The 22307-nt window shown below is 44.8% G+C and overlaps 1 long non-coding RNA gene across 1 annotated transcript, besides 7 other annotated features; it reads right to left on the bottom strand.

The window, feature by feature from the left end:
- Positions 1–2707: 2707 nt before the first annotated feature.
- LOC124901367 (uncharacterized) lies at positions 2708–11301 on the bottom strand. The gene is made up of 2 exons (XR_007059694.1): positions 9811–11301; positions 2708–6056 (listed from the first exon to the last, which is right to left on the bottom strand). It is a non-coding gene; the product is annotated as an uncharacterized LOC124901367 (long non-coding RNA).
- Positions 10284–10864: an enhancer, noted in NCBI's record as "H3K27ac-H3K4me1 hESC enhancer chr6:107996512-107997092 (GRCh37/hg19 assembly coordinates)". NCBI's record gives its function as "activates a minimal SCP1, AML or CMV promoter by ChIP-STARR-seq in primed H9 embryonic stem cells {active_cell/tissue: H9 hESC(primed)}" and the evidence as "EXISTENCE:reporter gene assay evidence [ECO:0000049][PMID:30033119]".
- Positions 10551–10750: an enhancer, noted in NCBI's record as "active region_24907". NCBI's record gives its function as "activates an Ori minimal core promoter by ATAC-STARR-seq in GM12878 lymphoblastoid cells {active_cell/tissue: GM12878}" and the evidence as "EXISTENCE:reporter gene assay evidence [ECO:0000049][PMID:35858748]".
- Positions 10865–11446: an enhancer, noted in NCBI's record as "H3K27ac-H3K4me1 hESC enhancer chr6:107995930-107996511 (GRCh37/hg19 assembly coordinates)". NCBI's record gives its function as "activates a minimal SCP1, AML or CMV promoter by ChIP-STARR-seq in primed H9 embryonic stem cells {active_cell/tissue: H9 hESC(primed)}" and the evidence as "EXISTENCE:reporter gene assay evidence [ECO:0000049][PMID:30033119]".
- Positions 12344–12843: an enhancer, noted in NCBI's record as "H3K4me1 hESC enhancer chr6:107994533-107995032 (GRCh37/hg19 assembly coordinates)". NCBI's record gives its function as "activates a minimal SCP1, AML or CMV promoter by ChIP-STARR-seq in primed H9 embryonic stem cells {active_cell/tissue: H9 hESC(primed)}" and the evidence as "EXISTENCE:reporter gene assay evidence [ECO:0000049][PMID:30033119]".
- Positions 15242–15301: an enhancer, noted in NCBI's record as "active region_24906". NCBI's record gives its function as "activates an Ori minimal core promoter by ATAC-STARR-seq in GM12878 lymphoblastoid cells {active_cell/tissue: GM12878}" and the evidence as "EXISTENCE:reporter gene assay evidence [ECO:0000049][PMID:35858748]".
- Positions 16665–17165: an enhancer, noted in NCBI's record as "H3K4me1 hESC enhancer chr6:107990211-107990711 (GRCh37/hg19 assembly coordinates)". NCBI's record gives its function as "activates a minimal SCP1, AML or CMV promoter by ChIP-STARR-seq in primed H9 embryonic stem cells {active_cell/tissue: H9 hESC(primed)}" and the evidence as "EXISTENCE:reporter gene assay evidence [ECO:0000049][PMID:30033119]".
- Positions 17166–17666: an enhancer, noted in NCBI's record as "H3K4me1 hESC enhancer chr6:107989710-107990210 (GRCh37/hg19 assembly coordinates)". NCBI's record gives its function as "activates a minimal SCP1, AML or CMV promoter by ChIP-STARR-seq in primed H9 embryonic stem cells {active_cell/tissue: H9 hESC(primed)}" and the evidence as "EXISTENCE:reporter gene assay evidence [ECO:0000049][PMID:30033119]".

The raw sequence follows: 22307 nt of genomic DNA, 5'->3' as shown, positions 1-22307 counted from the left end.
CCTTCACCTTTTGCCTGACCAGCCCTCTTGGGAGCAGGTGGGCCGACTGCTTTGAACCTCACCTCCGCTGGACACTCCTACTTACCTTCTGGCAGAGGAGCTCCTGGCTATCAAGCAATCTAAAAGGCAGTTGGCAGAGTGACCAGAGAGAAACCTGGAGACTAGATTATTTAAACGAGTCGATCACTTCCCAAATCAGTGACCATTAGCTTCACTGATGACCTGCATAATGTTCAGCTCTGCAACTGGTGATCACAGATGGGGAAGGGGGTCAAACCTAGGGAGTTACATGGATCCTGATGACAGTCAGATGGTTAGAAGTCCCTTTGCCATTCTTTTTCCAACTTGATGCCAATGCTGGTTTCCCAAAACACCTCCAGCATGTATGCATGCCTTAGGTATCTGCAGAAAACCTATCCAGAAGACAAAAATGTGATCAGGCCTCTGCTTTAGTCAAGAATGGACTCTCACAGGCCCACTCCTCTGTCTAGGTGGACCTCTTTTACTTCTTTGAGAGACTCAGGATATAAGCCTCTGAAAAGCTACTGAGACCCCAAGAACAAAAATGGACAGAGATTTTATTTTGGCCACCTGAAGAAAGCCATGGATAAAACACCTTCTCAGCAGGCAGATATACCTGTATATGCCATGTGCAGTAGCAGTGGACTTGCCCACCTTTTACTGCAGACTACCATTGTATCTAAATTTCAAGCAAACTATTAGGCTCAACATCCTTGTTAGAATATCGAATCCTAAGGCACAGATGTGGGACCCATGTCAATGAAGTCTTTTATAGCCAACCTTATGGTCCACCTTCCTCTGTCCATCCTCCCAAAATCCACTTTCACATGTGCTTCTGTTGTTTCTGCCAACAGACTAACCAGGTCTTGCAATGCCTTGGCATGCAGCACTTCCATCCTGAGGCAGGGACTATAGTTCCTCATTTGGCTATGCTGAGAACTGACCCTAGCTAATGGCCTAGAGGCAACGGCGATTGGGAGTGTGGGTGAGGCAGATCTTGAAGAGTACATACACCATCTTGTGAGGCTTCAGAGGAAGTCTTTACATCATCTCCAAGCAAAGGGAAGCTGTTTTCCTGTATTAAATAAGAGAGGCCTGCTTCTGCTGGCTTGGAGAATTATGGAGGATTGGTGGCTAGAGATTCTTAGGCATTTCCAACATACTGTCCCTATCCCTAGTCTCAGGGTACCACTCTTTCACCTTTAGAACTGTGAATTTGACATAGGAGACCCAACCATGCAAATTCAGTATGCTTTGCAGCTCTGCTACTATTATTATCAGATCCTGGGCCTGATTTTCAGCAGTTTGTTCTACAGATGCAGAAGTTAGGGGCTCCCATAGAGGCTCTCTGGCTTTCCCAGAATGCTGTAAGTTAGCAATAAGCTGTTTTGAATTTTTTTGTCAAGTATTCCAATGTCATCAAAAGCAGCTTGTACCTACTACAATCCTTATAATTAGGATCACCACATTCCACCAGTCAAGAGCCATAGTCAATACATAGTCCAGTGGTCCCCAAATTTGCTGCATATAAGAATCACCTGGAGATTTTTTAAAAAGTACTTACTGTCACCTGGCCTTCACCCATAGACACTTTGATTTAATTAGTTTGGGATGAAACCTAGGCAAGGGGATTTTTTTTAAAGCTCTCCCCATGATTTTAATGTACAGCAATTTAGAAACTATTGGCATCTCCGAATGCCTCATCTTCTACTTGTACTTCATCACAATTAACTACAGGCAAAAGCCTGGTGATAGTGATGCCAACGCACATCAGGGGTTGTTACCAGTCCACTTGCCACCAGCAATGGGGGCCCTCCACCTTTAGACTAGTGGGCAATTCAACTCCAAATCCCATCTTGAAGGTCTGCTTTCTAAGGCCACTCTTAAAACTATCTTTTTCCAGGTTCCCTAGAAAACAGAGACTGAGCAAATCCTATATGCTAAGGCTTTTGGGGGGAATGAAATTCTAGGAAAGCAGAAGTGAAGAAAAAAGATAAACAGAGAAAGAGAGTTAGCAAATATAAAGTGCATTACTGGTTGGGTGTGGTGGCTCACATCTGCAATCCCAGCACTTTGGGAGGCTGAGGCGGGCAGATCACTTGAGGCCAGGAGTTTGAGACCAGCCCGGCCAACATGGAGAAACCCCGTTTCTACTAAAAATACAAAAATTAGCTGGGTGTGGTGGCACACGCCTGTAATCCCAGCTACTTGGGAGGCTGAGGCATGAGAATCACTTGAACCCAGGAGGCAGAGGTTGCAGTGAGTCAAGATTGTACCACTGCACTCCAGCCTAGGAGACAGAGCGAGACCCTGTCTCAAAAAAAATAAATAAAGTGCATTACCAAGCTGGCCACAGCTTAATGAGAAACTGATTCAGTCCTGCAGGATGTCTTCAGAGAGACCATATGGGACTACCCACTCTCAAATAGTACCTCTCAGGAGAGGCAGACAGAAGGATTTTCCTCTAATTCCCATCTCCAACTGGTCATAGTTTGCTAGTTGCCATTCCTGGATTTGTGTGTGTATGAATACCAGATGGATCCCATAGTATCTTGAATCTCCATAGTAAAAGGAAAGTCCCATGCCAGCAAATGAGAGGCAAGAGATCTATGGCACAGGAATTGAGGAGAGGCATTGCATCAGTTGTCTATTGCTGTGGAACAAACCACTCCCAAAACTCAACGGCTGAAAACAACAACCATTTTATTTGCTTATAATACTACAGGCGAGCAATATGGACTGGGCTCAGCTTAGTGGTTCTTCTGTTGATCTTTCCAGGGGTTACCTACATGGCTGCAGTCATCTAGTGGCTTACTTGGGGTTGAATGGTCCAAGATGGCCACAGTGACATGTTGGGCACTTGGTGCTTCCTGATGGCACCATCTCATCATAGGGTCATCCTTCATGGTTGCTTCTCTTCATATGATGATTCACCCTCTTGGAGGCTTTCTAACATGGCAGCATTGCATTCCAAGATGAGGAGACAAGAGGCTGCAAGATGTCTTGAAGCTGAGACTCAGAAGTCACACAAGGTCATTTCCACACATTCTGTTGGTCAAAGAAGTTACAAGGCCAGCCCAGATTCAAGGAGAAGGGAAATACACATCTTGATGGGAGTAGAGTAGGCATACTGTAATGCGGCATGCACATGGCAATGAAAGGGGTCATTGCAGCCACCTTTACAAATATTCTACCATGAGCACTGTGACTTTATGCTTACAAGCAGGCTGCTGTTTCATGGCAACAGTGGAGGCAGCAGTGGCCAACTGGCCCCAAAACAATAGCACAAGTGGTGGTGAGAGCTGCTCCAGCCAAAAACCAAGGAGAATGTGTAGATCTTGTGGCCATAACCTGAATTCATTGCAGAGTATAACAAATGTTTTAGAAAACAATGTGGCAATATTTAATAAAAAGTCGAAGATGCGCCTGTACTCCCACCTCAAAATTCCGCCTCCAGAAATTCTCACAGGTGTTCACAAGGTGAGGACAAATATGTCCATGGTAACATTGTTCGAAATAGCAAAACATAGAACAACCTAAAAGTCTATTCACAAAGGAATGGATAAATGAACTCTGATATATTCATTCAATGGTAGTATACAGTAACTAAATGATAATAGATGTATCGCATGCATAAATGTCAGAGATATAAAGGTGAGTACAAAAAAGAAAGTTTTAGAAGAAGACACACATATTAATATAATTTGTTTAAAAATTTTTTAAAGGCAAAAAATGATACGTTGTATTGTTTAAGTATGCATACATACATAGAAAAATATAAAAACATGTATGAGAGAGACTAGGAGCTTGACACCAGCTGGGGTGACAGAGCAAGACCCTGTCTCTACAAAAAACTTTTAAAAAATTAGCTGGATGTGGTGGCGCATACCTGTGGTCCTAGCTCCTCGAGAGGATGAGGCAAGAGGATCGCTTGAGCCTAGGAGTTCAAGGCTGCAGTGAGCCATGATTGCACGACTGCGCTCCAACCTGGAAAACGGAGTAAGACCCTGTCTCTAAAAACAACAACAACAAAACCACATGTAAAAAAGTGTGATGGTTAATTTTATATGTCAACCTGACTGGGCCATGGGGTGCCCAGATTAATCATGATTTCTGGGTATGTCTGTGCCAGTGTTTCCAGATGAGATCAGCACTTGAATCAGATGGTCCTCCCCAGTGTGAGTGGGCACCACCCAATCCATTAAGGGCCTGAATAGAACAAAGAGTAGAGGAAGAAGGGCTTTACTCCTTTTTTTCTGCACCTCTGCAAATATATATATGTCCTATCAGTTCTTTTTCTCTGGAGAACCATAATACAGAAAGATACTCCCAACTTCAGGATTATGGTTAACGCCAGGAAAGAAAAATGGGATCAGGGAAGAGTATGGGGTGGGCGTGAGGGATCAAACAATCTGCAGTATTGTGTTTTTTAAAACAAAAAGTCATCCAAAGTAAACAGAGTAAATGCTAAATTTTGTTATATGTGGGCTTTGGGTCCACGGCTTTTTATCACATTATTTTCTATAATTATATTTTAAAATGTCATAATAAATAAAAAACAAATATCCTTAAAGGCATCAAAAGACCCTAATTCTGGTCTGGAGTCAGCTTCTAATCTTGCCGTTTGATAGAAATATATATGGGAGAAATACACCAAAATATAAATAGTGCTTATCTCTGAGTGATAGAATTTTAAATGATCTTTGCTTTCTTAATTTTTATTGAATTTTAAAAGAATTGCTTGTACTTTTTTTATCAGAAAAATTAAGATATTTCTTTAAAACTTTGTTCTTTAAGGCTGAGTGCAGTGGCTCACGCCTTTAATCCCAGCCTTTGGGAGGCCAAGGTGGGTAGATCACCTGAGGTCAGGAGTTCAAGACCAGCCTGGCCAATACGGTGAAACCCTGTCTCTACTAAAAATAGGAAAATTAGCTAAGAGTGGTGGTGCACACCTATAATCCCAGCTACTTGGGAGGCTGAAGCAGGAGAGTCGCTTGAACCCAGGAGGCAGAGGTTGCAGTGAGCCGAGATCACGCCATTGCACTCCAGCCTGGGCGATGGAGACAGACTCCCTCTCAACAAAAACAAAAACAAAGAAAACCTTTGTTCTTTGGCCTTAGAGAAATCACGCAACTTTTCTGCTAACCTTGTGCAGAAATGGTCTTTAAAGCTATTACGCATCACAAGAAAAAATAAATTGAAATCATCATTTTGTTCACTGGACATATGCCCCAGCCTTTGTTAGATCACATCATTCTCCTGCACAGAGCATGTACGCTTGGACGTTAAATCCAGCTGTCCTCCAGCGTGACTGCCCTTCTGGTGGGAAGAAGGACAGGGACATCATGTGCAAACAAGGCTCTCTCTTACTGAAAAGTAGACCTCCCTTCCCTATTCCCTTATTAAATAACTCTCAGCTACAATGGCTTATTTTGACGGAGAACCCCCTTTAAGATATTATCCTTTTCTAAGCTCACCAGGCAATAAATAAAAGGACACCAACGTCTACATACCCCCTCCCATGTGTGCTGATTTTACAGTGTCACTTTCCATCAGTTGAGGTGTTCATCACTATCATAGTACAGAACCTTGAGGTTTCTTTATACTAACTGGGCTGGGGTCTCTTTTAAGGGGTCCCACCTGCTTCCTGCCCACCAGTGAATGAGGATAGCTGGTTTGAGCCATCACTACCAACAGCCACAGCTGTGTCACGCTGTAGGTGAGATTAGTAAACTGAGAACACAGAGGCAGCACAAACTCCCTCAGTCCTGACCTGATTCAGCAGATACAAATCTGTCAGGTGGCCCAACTCGAAGTAGCTTAAGCAAAAAAGGGGAGTTATTTATAGCTTATCTAATTGGAATGAATAGCGTGGATCTGGAGACTCAAAGTATACCTGCAGTTTGCATCTCCGCTTCTCTCTTTGTGTTGATCTCATTCTGCCTTTCCTCAAATAACTCCCTCCAGAGGGTAGGACCAAAGAAAGGAAAACTGGCAGTAGGCAGTTCCAGACTTACCTTGCTCCAGCTCAGGATCTGCAAGGAAAGAAAGGGAGCGCATTCACCGTCTTGAAAGAACTCTGATTGGACCAACTTGAGCCTCCTGTCCACCATGAGGACCAGTCATTAAAGCCAAGGAATAATTGGCCAAGCCTGGGCCATGTGCCCATTTTTGTAGCTGAGGGATGGGGCAGGGTACAGGGAAGGAGGCCTCATCAGAATCTAGGACACAGGCATGGAGGAGCAATTCTCTAAAGGAATAAAGTGTGCTGTCATCTAAGGAGAGAAGAAAGGAAGGCTGGGCAAACAAAAACAAAAGTCCACCCAGTGCACATACGACAGGAGCTCTATTCTGCCACAAGTCTGTTAGGAAAACAGTATAGAAGCAGCTCCAGTGAAGTTTGTCTTCTCCTCCTGCCCCATTCTAAGGATGTGTGTGGATTGCATGTGAGGTGAGGGGAGGGCCTCTAGAGTAAGATGACAGAGCTACTTCCAGCTGTATGGTAGGCGGAGCGGGGGTGGGAGTTCATCTGGAACTAGCCAAAACTCCTCCTCCTCTCCAGCTCTGTCACCCCTCCCTCTCCTTGTTTCTCTGTTCTTTTACTCATCTCCTTTCTTTCTAAAGGCAATGACCTTCATGCTTATAACCTTGCGTAGTGATAATTAAAAGATATCCTGGCTTCTGAAGAGCAAGCCCTTGAATTTCAGGGGCAGAAAAACAGTGAGTGACAGGAAAATAATAAGCTAATCTCTTATGAACATATACACAAAAATCCTAAACAAATCACTAGCAAACAGAATTCAGCAATGTATTTGATTGCCAATTTTTGATGTACAAAAAGACAGCAAATTCATGTACTTCAATCTAATAAAAAAGAGTTCTATGACCGAGTTGGATTTGACCCAGGGATACAAATAATTTAACATTTCATATTGTCATTTTGACATGTTATATTATCATCTCAATAGACGACTGACTAAAATATATGATTTAATAATTCAAGGTTAATTTTTTAAAACAAAATAGCAATAGAAGGAAACCTCCTTAACCTGGTAAGGATAGCTAACAAAAATCTTCATCAAACTTAATGACAGAACCTTAAAACTACTGTCTTTATAAGTAAGCAGATGGTAGATGGTGGAAGCTAGGTTTCTTCCTGTTAGAGAGGAAAATTACAGTTAATAAAGGAGGAAGTCTAGAATGAACCATGTTGTACTGGATTACAATCGGAGACATTGTAATCCAGTTGAGCTCATGTTGAGATTAATAAAGATGCAAATGGCTAGATTCAGACATAATTATAGGTATGTGCATACATGAGCTAGTATATATACATATATTCTTAGTTCTGTCTGCTGAGAAGACTAGAAACAGTGATATCCCAGTTGTAAGGAGCACACAAATCACCGAGATCTTGGTTTCCAAATTCCATTCTCCAATAAAAGGAACCAGAGCTCCTTGGAGAAATGGCTGATTCTAGGTCTAGGGCAGGGAAAATATAAAATGAGTGCGGATCTTGTTATATAGCCAGAAAGTAAGAAGATGCCAAAAAATAAAAGTATAGGGGCATGTCAAAGGGACACCAGAGCCAACCTGAAAGAGCTCCAATGCCCAAACTGGAAGAATTTGAGCAAGAAAATAAATAACATACTATAAGCCAGAGTATAAGAAAATACATGAGTCCATACTGATATAAATAACTGATTGAATAAGCAAATGGACAGATAAATAGGAAAGACAAGTCTTTCTTACAGAAGGATTCCAGATAATACAGCATATGAACATACTCCATCCTCTAGGAGGTGAAACTTAATCCTCACCGATATGGTTTGGCCGTGTCCCCACCCAAATCTCATTTTGAATTGAAGTTTCCATAATCCCCAAGTGTAGCGGGAGGGATGCAGTGGAGGTAATTGAATCATGGGAGTGATTACCCCCATGCTGTTCTTGTGAGAGTAAGTGAGTTCTCACGAGATCTGATGGTTTTATAAGGGGCTTTTCCCCCTTTGCTCAGCACTCACTCCATCCTGCCACCCTGTGAAAAGGTGCCTTCTGCCATGTGATTGTAAGTTTCCTGAGGCCTCCCCAGTCATGCAGAACTGCAAGTCCATTAAACCTCTTTTCTTTATAAATTACCCAGTCTTGGGTATTTCTTCGTAGCAGCGTGAGAACAGACTAATACAATCCCTCTCCCCTTTCCCCCTTCTCCCACTTAAGGATGGGTTGCAATTGTGAATGGAAAGGGCATAGGGGAGGTAACTTTCCTATGGAAAACTCTGGCAAACATTGCCTTAGTCGGGTGACTAAGGCTAACTTCACCAGTGATGCTTCATGTTGACAGCATGTACTCTTGGATACAACATGATAAGAAGGACACTGCTCTGATATTATTCCCAAAAAACCATAAACACATTCTATTCATGAGAAAAACATCAGGCAAACTCAAAATTGAGAAACATTCCATAAAATACCTAACCAATATGCCTCAAAAGTGTCAAGGTCATGAAAAAGAAAGAAGGAAAAACTGTCATAGACCAGGGGAGACTAAGAAGATATGATGACTAAACAGAATGGGATATCCTAGATGGGATCCTGGGGCAGAAAAGGAACATTAGCGGAAGAACTAGTGAAATCTGAATAAACTCTAGAGTTTAGTGAATATTGATACATCAGTTTTGGTTTCTTAGTTTTGACATGGGTACCATGTTCTATAATTGTTAACAATGGAGGACACTGGGTGAGGGGTCTATGGCAACTCTATGTACTATCTTTGCAAGTTCTTAAAATAAATTTAAAATTATTTAAAAATAAAACATTTATGCCAAAAAATTTCCCTTGAAGTCAGGACAAGTAGGATGACCTCAAGATGCTAACTGACAGTGTAACAAAACAAAAAGAAACAAAATATATCAGGATTAAAAAGGAAAAGCTGAAATGTGCATTATTCAATATCATTGTTTACACAGAAAATCCAAAACAATAAACAAACCATTAGAACTGATAAGGCTTCAGTCAATTTCTATCAACACACACACACACACACACACACACACACACACAAATATTTACCTACATAACAGCAACAATAACAAAATGTATTTTTAAAGATTCCATTACAATAGCATGAAAAAGCTTATAATTTATCTAGAAATTAATTGAACATAAGATGCCCAAAGCCTTTACACAGAAACTTAAAAGGTTTCTTTGAAACACACAAAAAAGAAATCGAATAAACGGAAAGATACACCATGTTCATGGATGGAAAAACTTTATATCACAAAGATGACACTTTTCCACAAATTAATATAAACAGTAAAATTACAATCAAAATCCCATCAGAGTTTTTCATAATATACTTTCCAGGTAGTTTATTTCCACCAAGAAACAGGCCACATGAAAAGCTCCACAGAGCAATGACCAGTAGCAGCAGCCTCATCTCTTCTTTGCCAACATCCCAGCATGATGGGGCCTGTGCCTTAGTCCCCACTCACTCCAAAGGTGATGAGTGGGATGAATTTCAAAGCCAGGTGAGTTCTATTTTTTTTTTTTTTTAAAGCAGAGCAATGGAGAAAATTGGTTCCTGCTACTTCTATTGCTCAGGGACCAAAGCCTCTTCCTCTCTGGGATCTGTCCAGCCAGGACATAATAAATAACCCCACCAGTGGAAAAAACACTTTCATTTGATTCCATGAGTTTATAAATCAGTATGTTACTCAGTTATCCCCTGACTTCATCTAATATTTTTCTCCATCACTCCAGGGGGGATAGTGTCCGGCAGGAAAAACTTACATTCTGAAATGTGTGTTTCATCTTCTTCCAGTATGGAAAAGCGGGCTCAGTGAAGAGGGAAGAGCGAGCATCCACTGCCAGCTTTCCAGTTGGACACGAGCCATGCAAAGGCATCCAGGAAGAATCTAGTTGGAAGATGACTCTATCAGGCTGGATCGGAACTTGATGGCTGGCAGCTCACACGGAGACTGCACATGACCCGCTCGGAAGAGTCAGCCATCCGTTTGTGCTTCAGTGTCTGTTCCTCTAGTCAGAAGGAAGCTCTAGGACACAGCTTGGGCCAAAAGATAAGCCCCAACAATCGCACCCACGTGTGTATAGTACCTCATAGTTTGCAAATTACCTGATCTCATTTGACCCACATAAGAAGCCTGTGGATATCGTCGTTTGAAAGATGGGAAACATGCTATTTTACAGATGGGGATGCAAACCCAGACTTCAAATTCACACCTAGCGCGCAGGCAAGCCAGAACTCATATCCAATTTTTTAAAAAGGAGTGTCCTGAACTACTCCGTCTTCATACACCTCCTACATCATTGCTTTGTGTGGTGTTATCCCCAAATCTCCACCTGCATCCAGCTCTTCAAGCTGCAGTTCAGGCTTGGTTGAGGTGTCCGGCGGCGGCAATTTTACCCAACTGAAAGCAGAGAGAGGCATGTGGCTGGTCCGCAGGCAAGGCAGAGAGGGGTCTTTTGGTATCGTAATCATCAGGCCCCCACTAATAAGAAAAGCAGTCTCTGCAAACTAGGAACTTCAAAGAGCAACCAGCAACACCCTCTCAGCGTGCTGCGGCTCCTCCTGGGCCTGCTCGCAGAGCCATCCCCTGGCCAGCCCGCTGCTGACACCTTGTGGCCGACAAACAGAGTTCTTGCCCATTTCCTCTCAGAATTACGTCAAGCAAGGTGGCTGAGTGCTAGGAACCAGGCCCACCTCCTATTGTTCTTCCCGGGTTCCCCGACAGCCCCCTCCTCGGACGCCCAGGGCTTCAGGGTGGCTTAGTGTCAGGGCTGCTTAGGGGCCTGTGTGACCCTCAGTGGATGTCCGCTGAGTTTCCTCAGGACCCAGGCTGCCCAGCCCCTGCCAAGCCACGGTGGCAGTCACAGGGCCCTCTAGGTGGCACCTGCTGCCCAAGGCAGGAACCAGCACACACAATGCTCACCAAAAGACTGGCAGGTGAAATAAGGTTTTGCTCATAAAAGCGGGCATGAGCCAGATGCCTGAACATTGTTCTACTTTGGGGCCCTATATCTGCCACCATAAAGTGTGGGTGTCAGAGGGGTCAGAGGACACCCTGCTGGAAATAGAGCTTGTGGCAAACAGCCTCTGGGGACAGCCATTGAGGCAAATGACACCTTGGAGGCATAAATCACCCTAGGGACTTGTTCTGTTGTCAGTGGAAAAACAATTCAAATTCTAAGGAGACACTAATGGCAGCAGAGGGAGAGGGTGCCCCGTGTCTGCATGCCTACGCTTTGAGAAAAGGGATCTAACTAAATAGTAGAGAGTCTTGTTACTATTTTTTTTTTTAATTAAAAAAAATTTTTGAGACAAGACCCAGCTCTATCATCCAGGCTGGAGTGCAGTGGCACAATCTCGGCTCACTGCAACCTCCGCCTCCCAGGCTCAAGTGATCCTCCCACCTTAGCCTCCCGACAGCTAGGATTACAGATGTGAGACACCGTGCCCAGCTAATTTTTGTATTTTTTGTAGAGATGGGGTTTCACCATGTTGTCCAGCTTGGTCTTAAACTCTTGACCTCAAGGGATCTGCCCACCTCAGCCTCCCAAAGTGCTAGGATTACAGGTGTGAGCCACCATGTTAAGCCTTGTTATTATTTTAAAATGTGGTATTCAATGATTTTCGTTCAAGGCATTGTTAATATTCCAAACAATGATCATCACTGTGACTGTGATGAGCTTAATTAGATTAATAAAAATTTAAGATAGTTCTATCTGAAAGCACCAGGATCTCCCATTACATTGAGTAGTCAAGAGTCTGAAAGCAGCCCTCTGTTAATTAATCTCCAGCCCTCTGTTTCCCCACCTATAAAATGTTTGAACAAATTTGTATTTCTCGAAGTGTGGTTTGTGAACATGAATGCCTCAGAATCACACAGTCTTATTAAAAGATGCAGATTATAAGATCACTAATCTGAGGTCTGGGGATCTGCAATTTAACCCATTCTTCAAGTAATTCTTATGCACACGTATTTGAGAATCATTAAAGTGATGCAGGGCCTAAGATCTATTGAGACCTATTATGCACCAGGCACTGACAAGAGGTCTTTTCTCTTGAAGAGCCCACAGTCTTGTTGAGAAGATAGACAAGTGAATAAAAAGGTCCAGTAACTTACAAATGCTGTGAGGGAAAGGAGGAGAGAGTGGGTGACTGCCTGGGGGCATCATCTCTTCTGCTACCATTCCAATGTTTGTCTCCTCAAAACTCATGTTGAAATTCATGCCCCAATATAACAGCACTGTGAGGTGTGGCCTTTGAGAGCTGATTGGGTGGTGAGCGCTCTGCCCTCATGAATGGACTAATGGTCATCACAGGAGTAGGTCAGTTATCGCAAGAGCCAGTCTGTTACAAAAGGCCAAATTGGCTCTCTCTGATGAGGCCCCTCTCCATGTGATGCCCTGGGTCGCCTCAGGACTCTGCAGAGAGGCCCCATCAGCAAGAAGGCCCTCACCAAATGTGCTCCTAGACCTTGGACTTCCCAGCCTCCAGAACTGTCAGAAATAATTTTTTTTTTTAGCTTTATAAATTACCTAGTCTCAGGTATGCAGTTACAGCAACAGAAAAAGACTAGGCAGCTTCACAAAGGAGGTGGTACTGGAGCTGAGTCAGGAAAAATGGGTTCCCCAGGGCACTGAGTTCGGCTGAGGGGGAAGGAGAGGCCGTCCCAGACCTCAGGGGCAGCATGTGACTTTCGGCCTCCCCCTCGGGCTGGGACTGTGAGGCATCTGATGCCCCGCCCCTGGGGTGAGGCCAGCATCTGTAAGAGGAGAGGGACGCATTAAGGATTAGCCTGCGGTTTTCATTTGATCCAAAAATGGATCCAAAGCTCTGGTAATCTCATCCTCTCCTTCCAAAGAAGTAAGAGGTCAGGTCCTCAAACAGGGAATACCCAAGGGGCCCCGCCCCATGTCCACCACAGTGCGCGCCTGTGGGAGGCTGCAGGAGCGATGGGTCAGGCAGCTTCCGCAAAAGCAGGCCTAAGTTCTGTGTCAGCAAATTATGTTTTTAGTAAAAAGCGTTTACTATTTAATCAGGTTTTCTCCTTCTTATTTCTCTTTCTTCTTCTCCCCTTGTTTCCTTTCCATTTTCTTGACAGTCTGATATTTAAAACTATTTTCTATAGTATTTGGAAACTGCACCCCGAAATATCTTTAGTTACCTAGTACATGGGATCTAATTCTTGTTCTTAAATTTACCCCATCCCTCAGCATGAGTTCGGCCCATGCCTTCTTACCCAAATAGCCATCGTCCTGGCCTCCTCAGTCTAGTGGCCTTGGGTATACACTGAGAAGAGTAAAGCCAGGCTAAGCACCATCCCATTGATCTTCTGCTAGTGACACGCTGGAGGTTGCTTCTATCAGCTCACAAGAGCTGATTCTAAATTTTCAGAAATTTTCTGAGAAGCTGTTAAGTATAGACATTATTAAAAGTTAAATTATACACACTTAAATAAGTTATATTAAAAGAAAAGGTAATAAATGCTAAGAACATATCGTTTCCATTATTTTACTACATTATATTATCATCTATTCTCTTGAGGTTATTTACATCTATTATATCTGCATAGTAGAAAATTATATAAGAATGTGTGGCTACACATGTCTTTCTAATTGAGTTCTGTGACATCACAGTGTTAGCTTGAAATCTGTCATGGTGAGAATATTTACACCATGGATGTAAATTGGCAAGTGCTGGGAATCAGGTCTTGATTTATTGTTTTGTTGCTTGTCTAGACTTAAAGTGATGGGGAATGTTCATAATGAAGATTAAACTCAAAAGAGTGCCACGTCTGTGTCTGTGGCTGTTACATTGTGAATAACATGAAAATTTGAGGAAATATTCTCCCAGTATTTGATTTAGAAAAGAAGTCACTCATGTCGTTGATGAATGAGTGAGGTTTCAACCTATGTCTTCGTGGTTTCACTTTTGTCTAATACATTAACATACAAGAAAATATCATTCAACATTTATATCAGAACTACACTCATTCAGCAATTGCAACCAGGTAGTTACAAGAATTCAACAAAAATCAACAAGACCATGCTGTGAGAATCTATTGGTTCTATGGAATTTATAACAAAGAGTGTTATATATTTTATCGTTATTATAAATTGCATGTTCCACATCTTTCATAACAGCAAAATGTATAATAAACTTACGTACTTATGGATAATCACGCTTTTTCCCCTCAGAGAGCCCACAGTTAAACACGTTCCAGCACACCATTAATCCACCGAGCTCTGTGTCTGTGGAACACAACTCACACCCCACATCAAGGCAGCAAACACTTTAATCGGTTCTAATTCCAAAGTAACTGCTGAAAGAAGCATTCGGAGAGTTCATGAAGACCCGGGTTCCCATCTTGATCCTGCTACTCACGAGCTAACTGCCACTAGACAAGTCACTCCGCCTTTCTCTATACCTCACTTCCCACATGTGCAAAAATGAGGGCATTGAACAATACGAACAATCCTGTCCTTTCCAGCTCTCAAATGTCATGGCTTATGCACATGTGAGAAAGGGACGGCTCCGAAGTTGCAGGAATTCAAACCAACCTAAAGGCTTCCAAATGTCATCTCTGAGGTCATGTTCTTTACTCACTGTACCTTCAGATGACATGAAAATCAGGCAGCTAGAAGGGCGAAGAGAAGCCTTCTTTTGAGCCCTGTCCATTTGAGATGACATAGCCATGGGCATGGGAAGGGAGTGAGAAAGATGGACTAAATTTGCTCCGTAAGCAGGGCCCTGCCGTCCTCGCTTCCTCAGCTCCTGCCCCTCTTCCTCTGGACTCAGGCTTTTCTGCTCCATGGAGCCTCTTGGGCACTGAGTTCTCCCCACACAGCAGAAACGAGCCCAGCACAGAGAGCTCCCTAACCTGAGGGATGGCCTACAAGAGATTAATAGCGAACTTGTAGGAAGGAAGGATGCGAAAGCTCACACAGGTCTTTCGTAGCCTTCACAACGTTGGGCAGGAAATGGTTAATCAGGGCCGGCCCTGAGCCTGGACGGCTGCAGGCAGGGAAGGGGCAGCGATTAATTACACTACACAGGAAGTGCAGGCCTCCATCCCTCTGCCCAACGGGGAAATCCATTTTCAATTCTGACCTCAATGTGGAAGTGACTCTTCCTGCCAAAAGGAGAGGAGTACAAGCGTCCCCTCCCCCACAGCACAGCAGAACCAGAAGACAGAACACAGGCAGATGCAGCACCAGGGGTAGGCAAAGCCCAGGCAACGTGCACAGCAGGCAGCTTGATGGAGAAAGTTTTCCTTAGTGGCACCTGATGAGACAACTCTTCCTGTACATGCACTGAAACAGGGAATAGGTACAAAAAAAAAAAACAAAAACCCAAGAAAATGCTACTTGGTATGGAACAGGAATAACAGGAGACACAGACAAGGTCAGCAGAACCTAGAAGGAGAGTCCAGACACACGAGACATTGCCTATAGTTCCATAGCAAGGAGTGCAGCCTGGGCAGCCTGAGACCCTTTCCTTAAAAAAAAAAAATGGTGTTTTTTGTTTTTTCGAGACAGAGTTTTGCTCTGTCACCCAGGCTGCAGTGCAGTGGCACACTCTTGGCTCACTGCAACCTCTGCCTCCCAGGCTCAAGCAATTCTCATGCTTCAGCCTCCTGAATAGCTGGGATTACAGGCATATACCACCACACCCAGCTAATTTTTTGTATTTTTAGTAGAGACGGGGTTTCACCATGTTAGCCAAGCTGGTCTCGAACTCCTGGCCTCAGGTTGATCTACCTGCCTCAGCCTCCCCAAAGTGCTGGGATTACAGACATGAGCCACCGCGCCCAACCAAAAAAGGTTTTTCTAAATTAGTCAGGTATGGTGGCACAGGCCTGTAGTCCCAGCTACTCAGGAGGCTGAAGCAGGAGAATCGCTTGAGCCCGGGAGTTTGAGATTGCAGTGAGCTATTATCATGCCACTGCACTCCAACCTAGGTGACAAAGTGAGAACCCCCATCTCTCTTTTTTTTTTAAAGCAAAGAATAAATGGAAGGCATACCAGAAGCCCACTGCATATTTTTTATCCATATTTTTAATGAAACTAATATATGATTAAAAAAAAACATACATAGTTGCTATTCCATTTTTCTGTTTGTCTAAAGGCCCAAGCTGAAGAACCCCTTGGGGAATGGTTTCAGATAGATCACCTGACCTACGGTTAAGCTCCAGGTTGTGATGCTCAGGGTGGGAAACACGAGGTGAGCTGCACCGTCCTTCCTTCTGCTTTATGGACTGGGGTCTTCGGGGGTTCTGTCTCTGTCTTGGTGTGCGACACGTTTACATGTTCACATACTCTATCGGCCAAGGCCCAGCCAGGAAAACAGAGAGCACCTTAGGCCCTTGCAGCCAGGGGAGCGCAAGGAAGGGAAGGGGGTCCACAGTGATGGAGAGCTGAGAAGCTGGGCAGGGGACAGTGAGAAAACCCTGAGGCTGAAGGAACAAACATAGGAAGACTTCATGGGAGCTGCAGCTCCTAAGGGCTTTCCAGAGGGAACTGAGGAAGGTGGCTGAGGGAGAGAGAGAGGGAGAGAAATCCCATCTCCCATTAGCTGAATACAGCCAGGGTGAGGGCCCTGCCATGTGGAGCAGAGCAGGGAAAGTTGAGAAATGGATCTCAGAGCAAACAGGCCCAGAGCCAGCACACTTGCTATCATCTAACCCTGGAAGCAACCCCAAGAGTAGGTCTCATCATCTCCATGTCACTGAGACAGAAATCAAGCCTTGGAGACATTAAAGACCAATGCGGCCAGCAGCGCACGGCAGGAAGTGGCGGGGCTGAGAGAGAAACTTTGGTCTTCCATCTGCACACCCACACTGTTCATTCTTCCGTGGCCCTACAGCGGTGTGGAGGTGGGGGTGGCTGTTGAGCAGCACGGCACTTCCAAGTTGGTTCCACGGTAGCCGTCCTTACCCTCCTGCTCGTTCCTGTGCCAGGAACCACGGTCGGGGTGCCACATGGTGCTCTGGCATGAGAGGAGGCCATCCTGGCCAGGACTGCCAGCCAGGGAGGTGGACTCACAGAGGGCCTCTCCAACCTCTCTGAGCCCCCATTAAAGGCCTCTGTGAGCTCTTCAGAAGGACAGAGCGATGGGCCAACACGAGGCTGTGCCAGCTAATTATTCAGCCCTCCTTCTGCTCCCTGGAAGCCCCAGCCCTGCTGGACGGGCGGCCTTCTGTGTTCCTCGTGTTAGATGGCCTGGTTCCCCTCTCAGAGGGGCTGGTATTTGGTTGATCCTTCAGGCTCCCGTTTGGCTCATAAAACACAAACATCTGCTGGGGTTCTGGTTGGCCTGCGGCAGCCTTCGGAGCGAAGAGGGATGGAGGAGAGGTGAGGAGAGGGAAACGAGGACTCGGGCAGCCTTTCTGGGGGGGTTAATGAGTTACTCTGCGACGTGGGGGGGTGGGGGATGGGCTTTATCAAGCCAGAGCCCTGATCAGCTCCCCAAAGAAGAGAAAGGAGAAGAGAAGAGGATTTTCCCGGGGTTTCTCTGGAAAGTCTGGGGGAGTCTGCGATGCTTTCCTCCATTGCCGCGCTGCCTCCAACTGTTCCATTTCTCACCAGTTGGCTATTATTTTCTAACGCATTTTGATCATTACTTTATCAATCAAGACAGATAAACAAAAGCCTAAAAATACATCTGAGTGAATGCGTTCCCAGAGCCAACCAGTCTTCAGTACTCTGATTTTTGTGACTTTTTTTTCAGAGATGCTTGGGAAACAGTTGAAGGGCTCCATTCCTTATTAATGTGTGGCCCAGTAGAATACACTAACCAACCTCTGCCCTCCTGGCTCAGATGTATAGGGTCAAAGGAATTCAGTTAAGGAAATGGTTATCTAAGCGAAAGAAGGCCCCTTAAAAAACTCGCCTAAAGCCTTTTTCTTATGAGGATGGCTCTTTGCTTTTGATTTGCTTATTAAATCCACAGATGCCTGGGTCAAGAGTTGAGAAAGCCCTTCATGTGGCACCTTTTAAAGAAGTAAAACGGAGAGAGTTGTATTATATCATTGCAACTGTTTAGAAAGAAAAAGTGCCAGTTACTCAATGAATAGAGCTCATATTTCAGAAGCCAAATGCTGTCTAGTTATACCCTGTGAGCGCCTGGACATAAACCCAGCCCATTAACCTCATCTTTATCTCACAGAGTGGCCCCGCCCAGCCAGGCTTATTAAGAGCCTCAAGGGAGAAGCCAATGAGCATGGCATTTGAGAAGAGGCACCAGCCTCAACTCCTGCCTTAGTCCTAATCTAAGATTTTGGAATGAAAAATTCACTGGGGCACATGACCCTCCTGAGCTTCCAGGCTTTTGCACCACGTGCCACCCTACCCCCTTCTCTAGTTTTCATTTCTCAAAGTAATAGTGGTCCCTCCCAGGAGGGGGTCTGGGCCTTCTTTCCCCCAAAGAACGGCACAGGACTAACATATTCAGTGACTTTCCTGACAATCCATGGCAGGTACTGCAGGATATCAGACCTGAAGGAAACCATCCAATTTATAGCTGCTCACGTAAAAGCCATCAGGAGGATCATGAAATGATTCTCCATATGGTGCCCTGAAGCTTCCAAAAACTATACGAGAAAGGGGCTTGGAAGGAATTCTTTCCCTTTTGGAGACAAGGAGGGTCGAAGCCAAGCATCTGTGGCAACCTGGAAAAGACACTCCTCCCCGACACCCACCTCCACTGCATCCCCTGGGGCAGCCCCGAGGATCAGTCCTTGACGGCCCAGGCCCACAGGGTCACTGCCATTGGCCACTTAGGCTTGTCCATTAACCAAGCTTATGTTCTCTAGCATAAATGAACTCTACAGTCACATTGTGTGGAGGCTTCGGGACATGGTTTGCCAAATGGAAAAACATTTGGAGGTTGGGAAAATATCTTGCACATAAATTACTGAAGGCACAGAGAATCTAAAAGAGGGATGGAATCAGAAGCCAAGGAAAAGCCAGGAGGGAGCCAAAGAAAAACGGAGAGAGAGACAGAGACAGGGAAAGCGATGTAATGATTTCTCTTAATGACCCGCCTTCAGACCAAAGGCAAGGTTCTAAGCCGTGTTTGCGTCTCATAAAAGCCATGTGCCTGAGTATTAGGAAAGATCCTTTAAATGGCCGGATCAAGCCTCCATTTTTCATCCTTTCTGAGTAGAGTTCTTCATTGATTATGTTAAGTGCCGGCCCCCAGTTAGAAACACAAAAGGCTCATTGTCTTTGACTGTGGCAAAGGCCAGTTACACACTTGTTAATTTCCTGATTTATAACACTGAAGAGACGGAACTGAGAGGGGTGCTTCCTCTCTCTTTCTCTATGTCTCTCTGTCTCACTCTCTTTCTTGCTCTCAGTGGTGGTGGTGGAAACTATTAAAACAGAGGCAGATCAGGAAGTTTGTGATAAAGAAAAGCCAGGCTCTGGTCTGACATACAATCTCTCTCTTGGCTTAAGTAAACTTGCTTCTTCAAGGCTTGCCATCAACAGAGTCCGGCTCACGTTTCACCACTAAATCTGAGTCAACAATCTCTAATCTGGACACTGGGTTCGGAATCCAGGCTCAGGTTGCACTTGGAAGCTGACAGCAGGGACAAGAGCAGAGAAAAATACGGCCTTTGTTTCTGGTTTGATCGTCCCCACCGAGCTAAGCTGAGGTCATGCGTCGTTTTCTGTCATCAACAAGATAAAAGTTTGCACCTTTCTGGCCCTGAAATGTCTCTCCTGCCATTTATATTAAGGCCAAGAAGCTCTCTGGCCCAGAATCGGAGGGCCAAGTTTGTGGAGAGCTTAGATTTGGAGTCCTTTTCATCTTTCTGACATGTGATACCGTGACATAGGCAGCCCTTGCGGGGTTGCTATGCAGATATACAATTTCTGAAAAGTTACACCCGGAAAACGAAAACCCTGGGCTGGATTAGCATTTCACAAAGAACAGGGAGAAAATGTGTAGCAGTTAGGCTAAAAAGCTAAAAAAGAAAAAAAAAGTGAATTAAAGTTTCATGAAAATGAACTCTTTTTTAAAGGATCAATAAGTATAAAAGTATCTTATTTCATTCCTGGCCTTCGGTCCGAGCCCTAATCCAGCCACTGTGTGCGAAGGAGATACTGTGAGGCCTGTGATGGAGATTGGGAAGGGAGGTCTTGGTGTGGGGTGAGGTTCAGTCATGCTGGGGAGTGTGAAATTAAAGGGCTTAGGTACGGTCCTGCTGTTTTATAAAACTCTTCTTTTTCCCTCTCTACCATTGTTTTCATTGTTTTTACTTTGTACCAAGCCTTCTCTTTTGTTTAAGTAAACCTAGAAAGAAGAATAAAAACAAACACATAGTCTAAAGGTTCTAGCTAAATAAGTTTCAGTTTCTACCTTCCTTTTCTTTACCAATGTCAAAGGCATGCCTTCCAGAGCTCACTCACTCACAACCTAGCCTTTCCTAAAAAGTGTTTTTCTCAAGTATTTCCAACACCAGAAATCATTTTACATGAAACATTAAAATGGAATGTGATTGTTTGCATGAGACGTAGGAGACTGGAAATAATGAGAGGTTTTTCCTGTTATCCCTGAGACCTAGTGACTTCCAGCTGAGACCCTTACATGCCGTCCTGTGAGCCAGCCATGTCCACACAGCTGGAGAGGCGGTGGCCCCTCGCCTGCTGCTCAGGACTCCAGGACACCCCAACAGTTTTAACTGCAGAAGGTCTGGAGGGAAGCCCAGAGCAGGAAATAGGAAAGGGGGTTTTGAAGGACACAGAGGACATGGAGAAGATTCAAGGAACTCAACTGATACTGCTCCAACGGTGGATGAGAGGCACAGCAGCCAGGGAGCTAGACGCCAAACAACTCCGCCTGTCCATGCAGAAGGCAAAGATGCCTTACCCTGACCCTTGCATTCAGGAGCTCCAAGGCTGGTTAGAGGAAAGCAGAGGAGGGGAAATAAGAACAGTAAAGGGCCACAGAGTGGATCTCCTTAGGCATTCTTACTTATTAGATTCTGAAGCGGCAATGTTTGCACAGAGTTCTCTCATAGAGGATGGGAATTTATGGGAAGTTTGTTAGGTTAAAAAGAGATGGGCAATTGACTTTTTCTGTAACTCAAGAGATGAGAATCACTGTTACGCTCCTCTGTGTCACCTCCAAGGTTGATGCTCTCCAAGATGAACTGACACGTGTGAAAGTGAAATGAGGTATTCAATAAACTGGCTCTGTTCTCATGTACACAGCACGTAGACATCCATCCATCCACAAGAGAAAGGCCCAAATGGGAGTGTGCAGTGAAGTGTGGGCTCCGAGCTCACACTCCCCAAGTATAGTTCCAGGCTGTGCCACAACTGTGTGCTCAGTTTCCTCATCAGTAAAATGGCAATACTAATACCGACTTCATAGGGTTGTTGTGAGGTATAAATGAAGTAATGCAACTAAATGATGTTTAGCAATCCTTGGAGAAATGTACATTACAATTAACAGTGGTGTCTATTCCTTCTTGTAGGAGTTCACTGTCTGTTGATTTGGCCCGAATCTGCATGTGAGGAACAGATGAGGAAGGAGAGCATCATCTGTTGCCTGAGGTCTGAAGCAAGATGGAATGGCATTATCAGACATGCATCACATTGGCTGATTGAGATCCAAACTGAGTTATGAGCTGAGTTGATGCTGGTATTTCTGCATCCATCAAGAGCACCGACTGCCCTTGGGGGCAGTGGGTTCAAATCTGGGCTCTATTACATCCTAGCTGAGTGGCTGAGCAGATCACTTAACCTTCCTGGACTGTATTTTCCTCATCCAGAAATGAGGATCACACTGCCTGTATCACATGGTTTTGTGAGAACTGCCTGAGATAGTCCAGGTGAATGTTGTGGTGCCTGGCACGTGGAGGTTCTCAGCATGTATGTCCTTTCATCCAGTCTTTCAGCTGGTCAACTGGGGATCCGAGGCATAGCCCAAAAGTGACCATGGGGCTTGGAGTCAGCTCCCTGCACTCTGGGCAAAGTGACCCCACGTGGGTCCCAGTCAGTGCGGCCCCGGCAGCTCTACTGGTGCTCCTGTTCACCGTCCCATCTCAGCAAGTGCCGGGGGGGAGGCTCGGTGTGCAGTTCAAAAAATCGGAACAATGGGAAGTGGAAAAAGCCCCTGGCTCACGTGCCGTCTGCTCCCTACCCCAGGAAATGGAACACATGTGCCAAAGTGTCCTCACTCCTCTTCCCTTCTCTGAGCTATGACACAGGCCCCCAGCCCCTCTCCTTCAAGTGTTACCTACAGATACCTT

This window comes from Homo sapiens, chromosome 6 (assembly GCF_000001405.40).
Source record: "Homo sapiens chromosome 6, GRCh38.p14 Primary Assembly".
Taxonomy (NCBI): domain Eukaryota; kingdom Metazoa; phylum Chordata; class Mammalia; order Primates; family Hominidae; genus Homo; species Homo sapiens.
The sequence above is the reverse complement of the archived record's forward strand: the minus strand, read 5'-3'. Positions and strand labels throughout refer to the sequence as shown.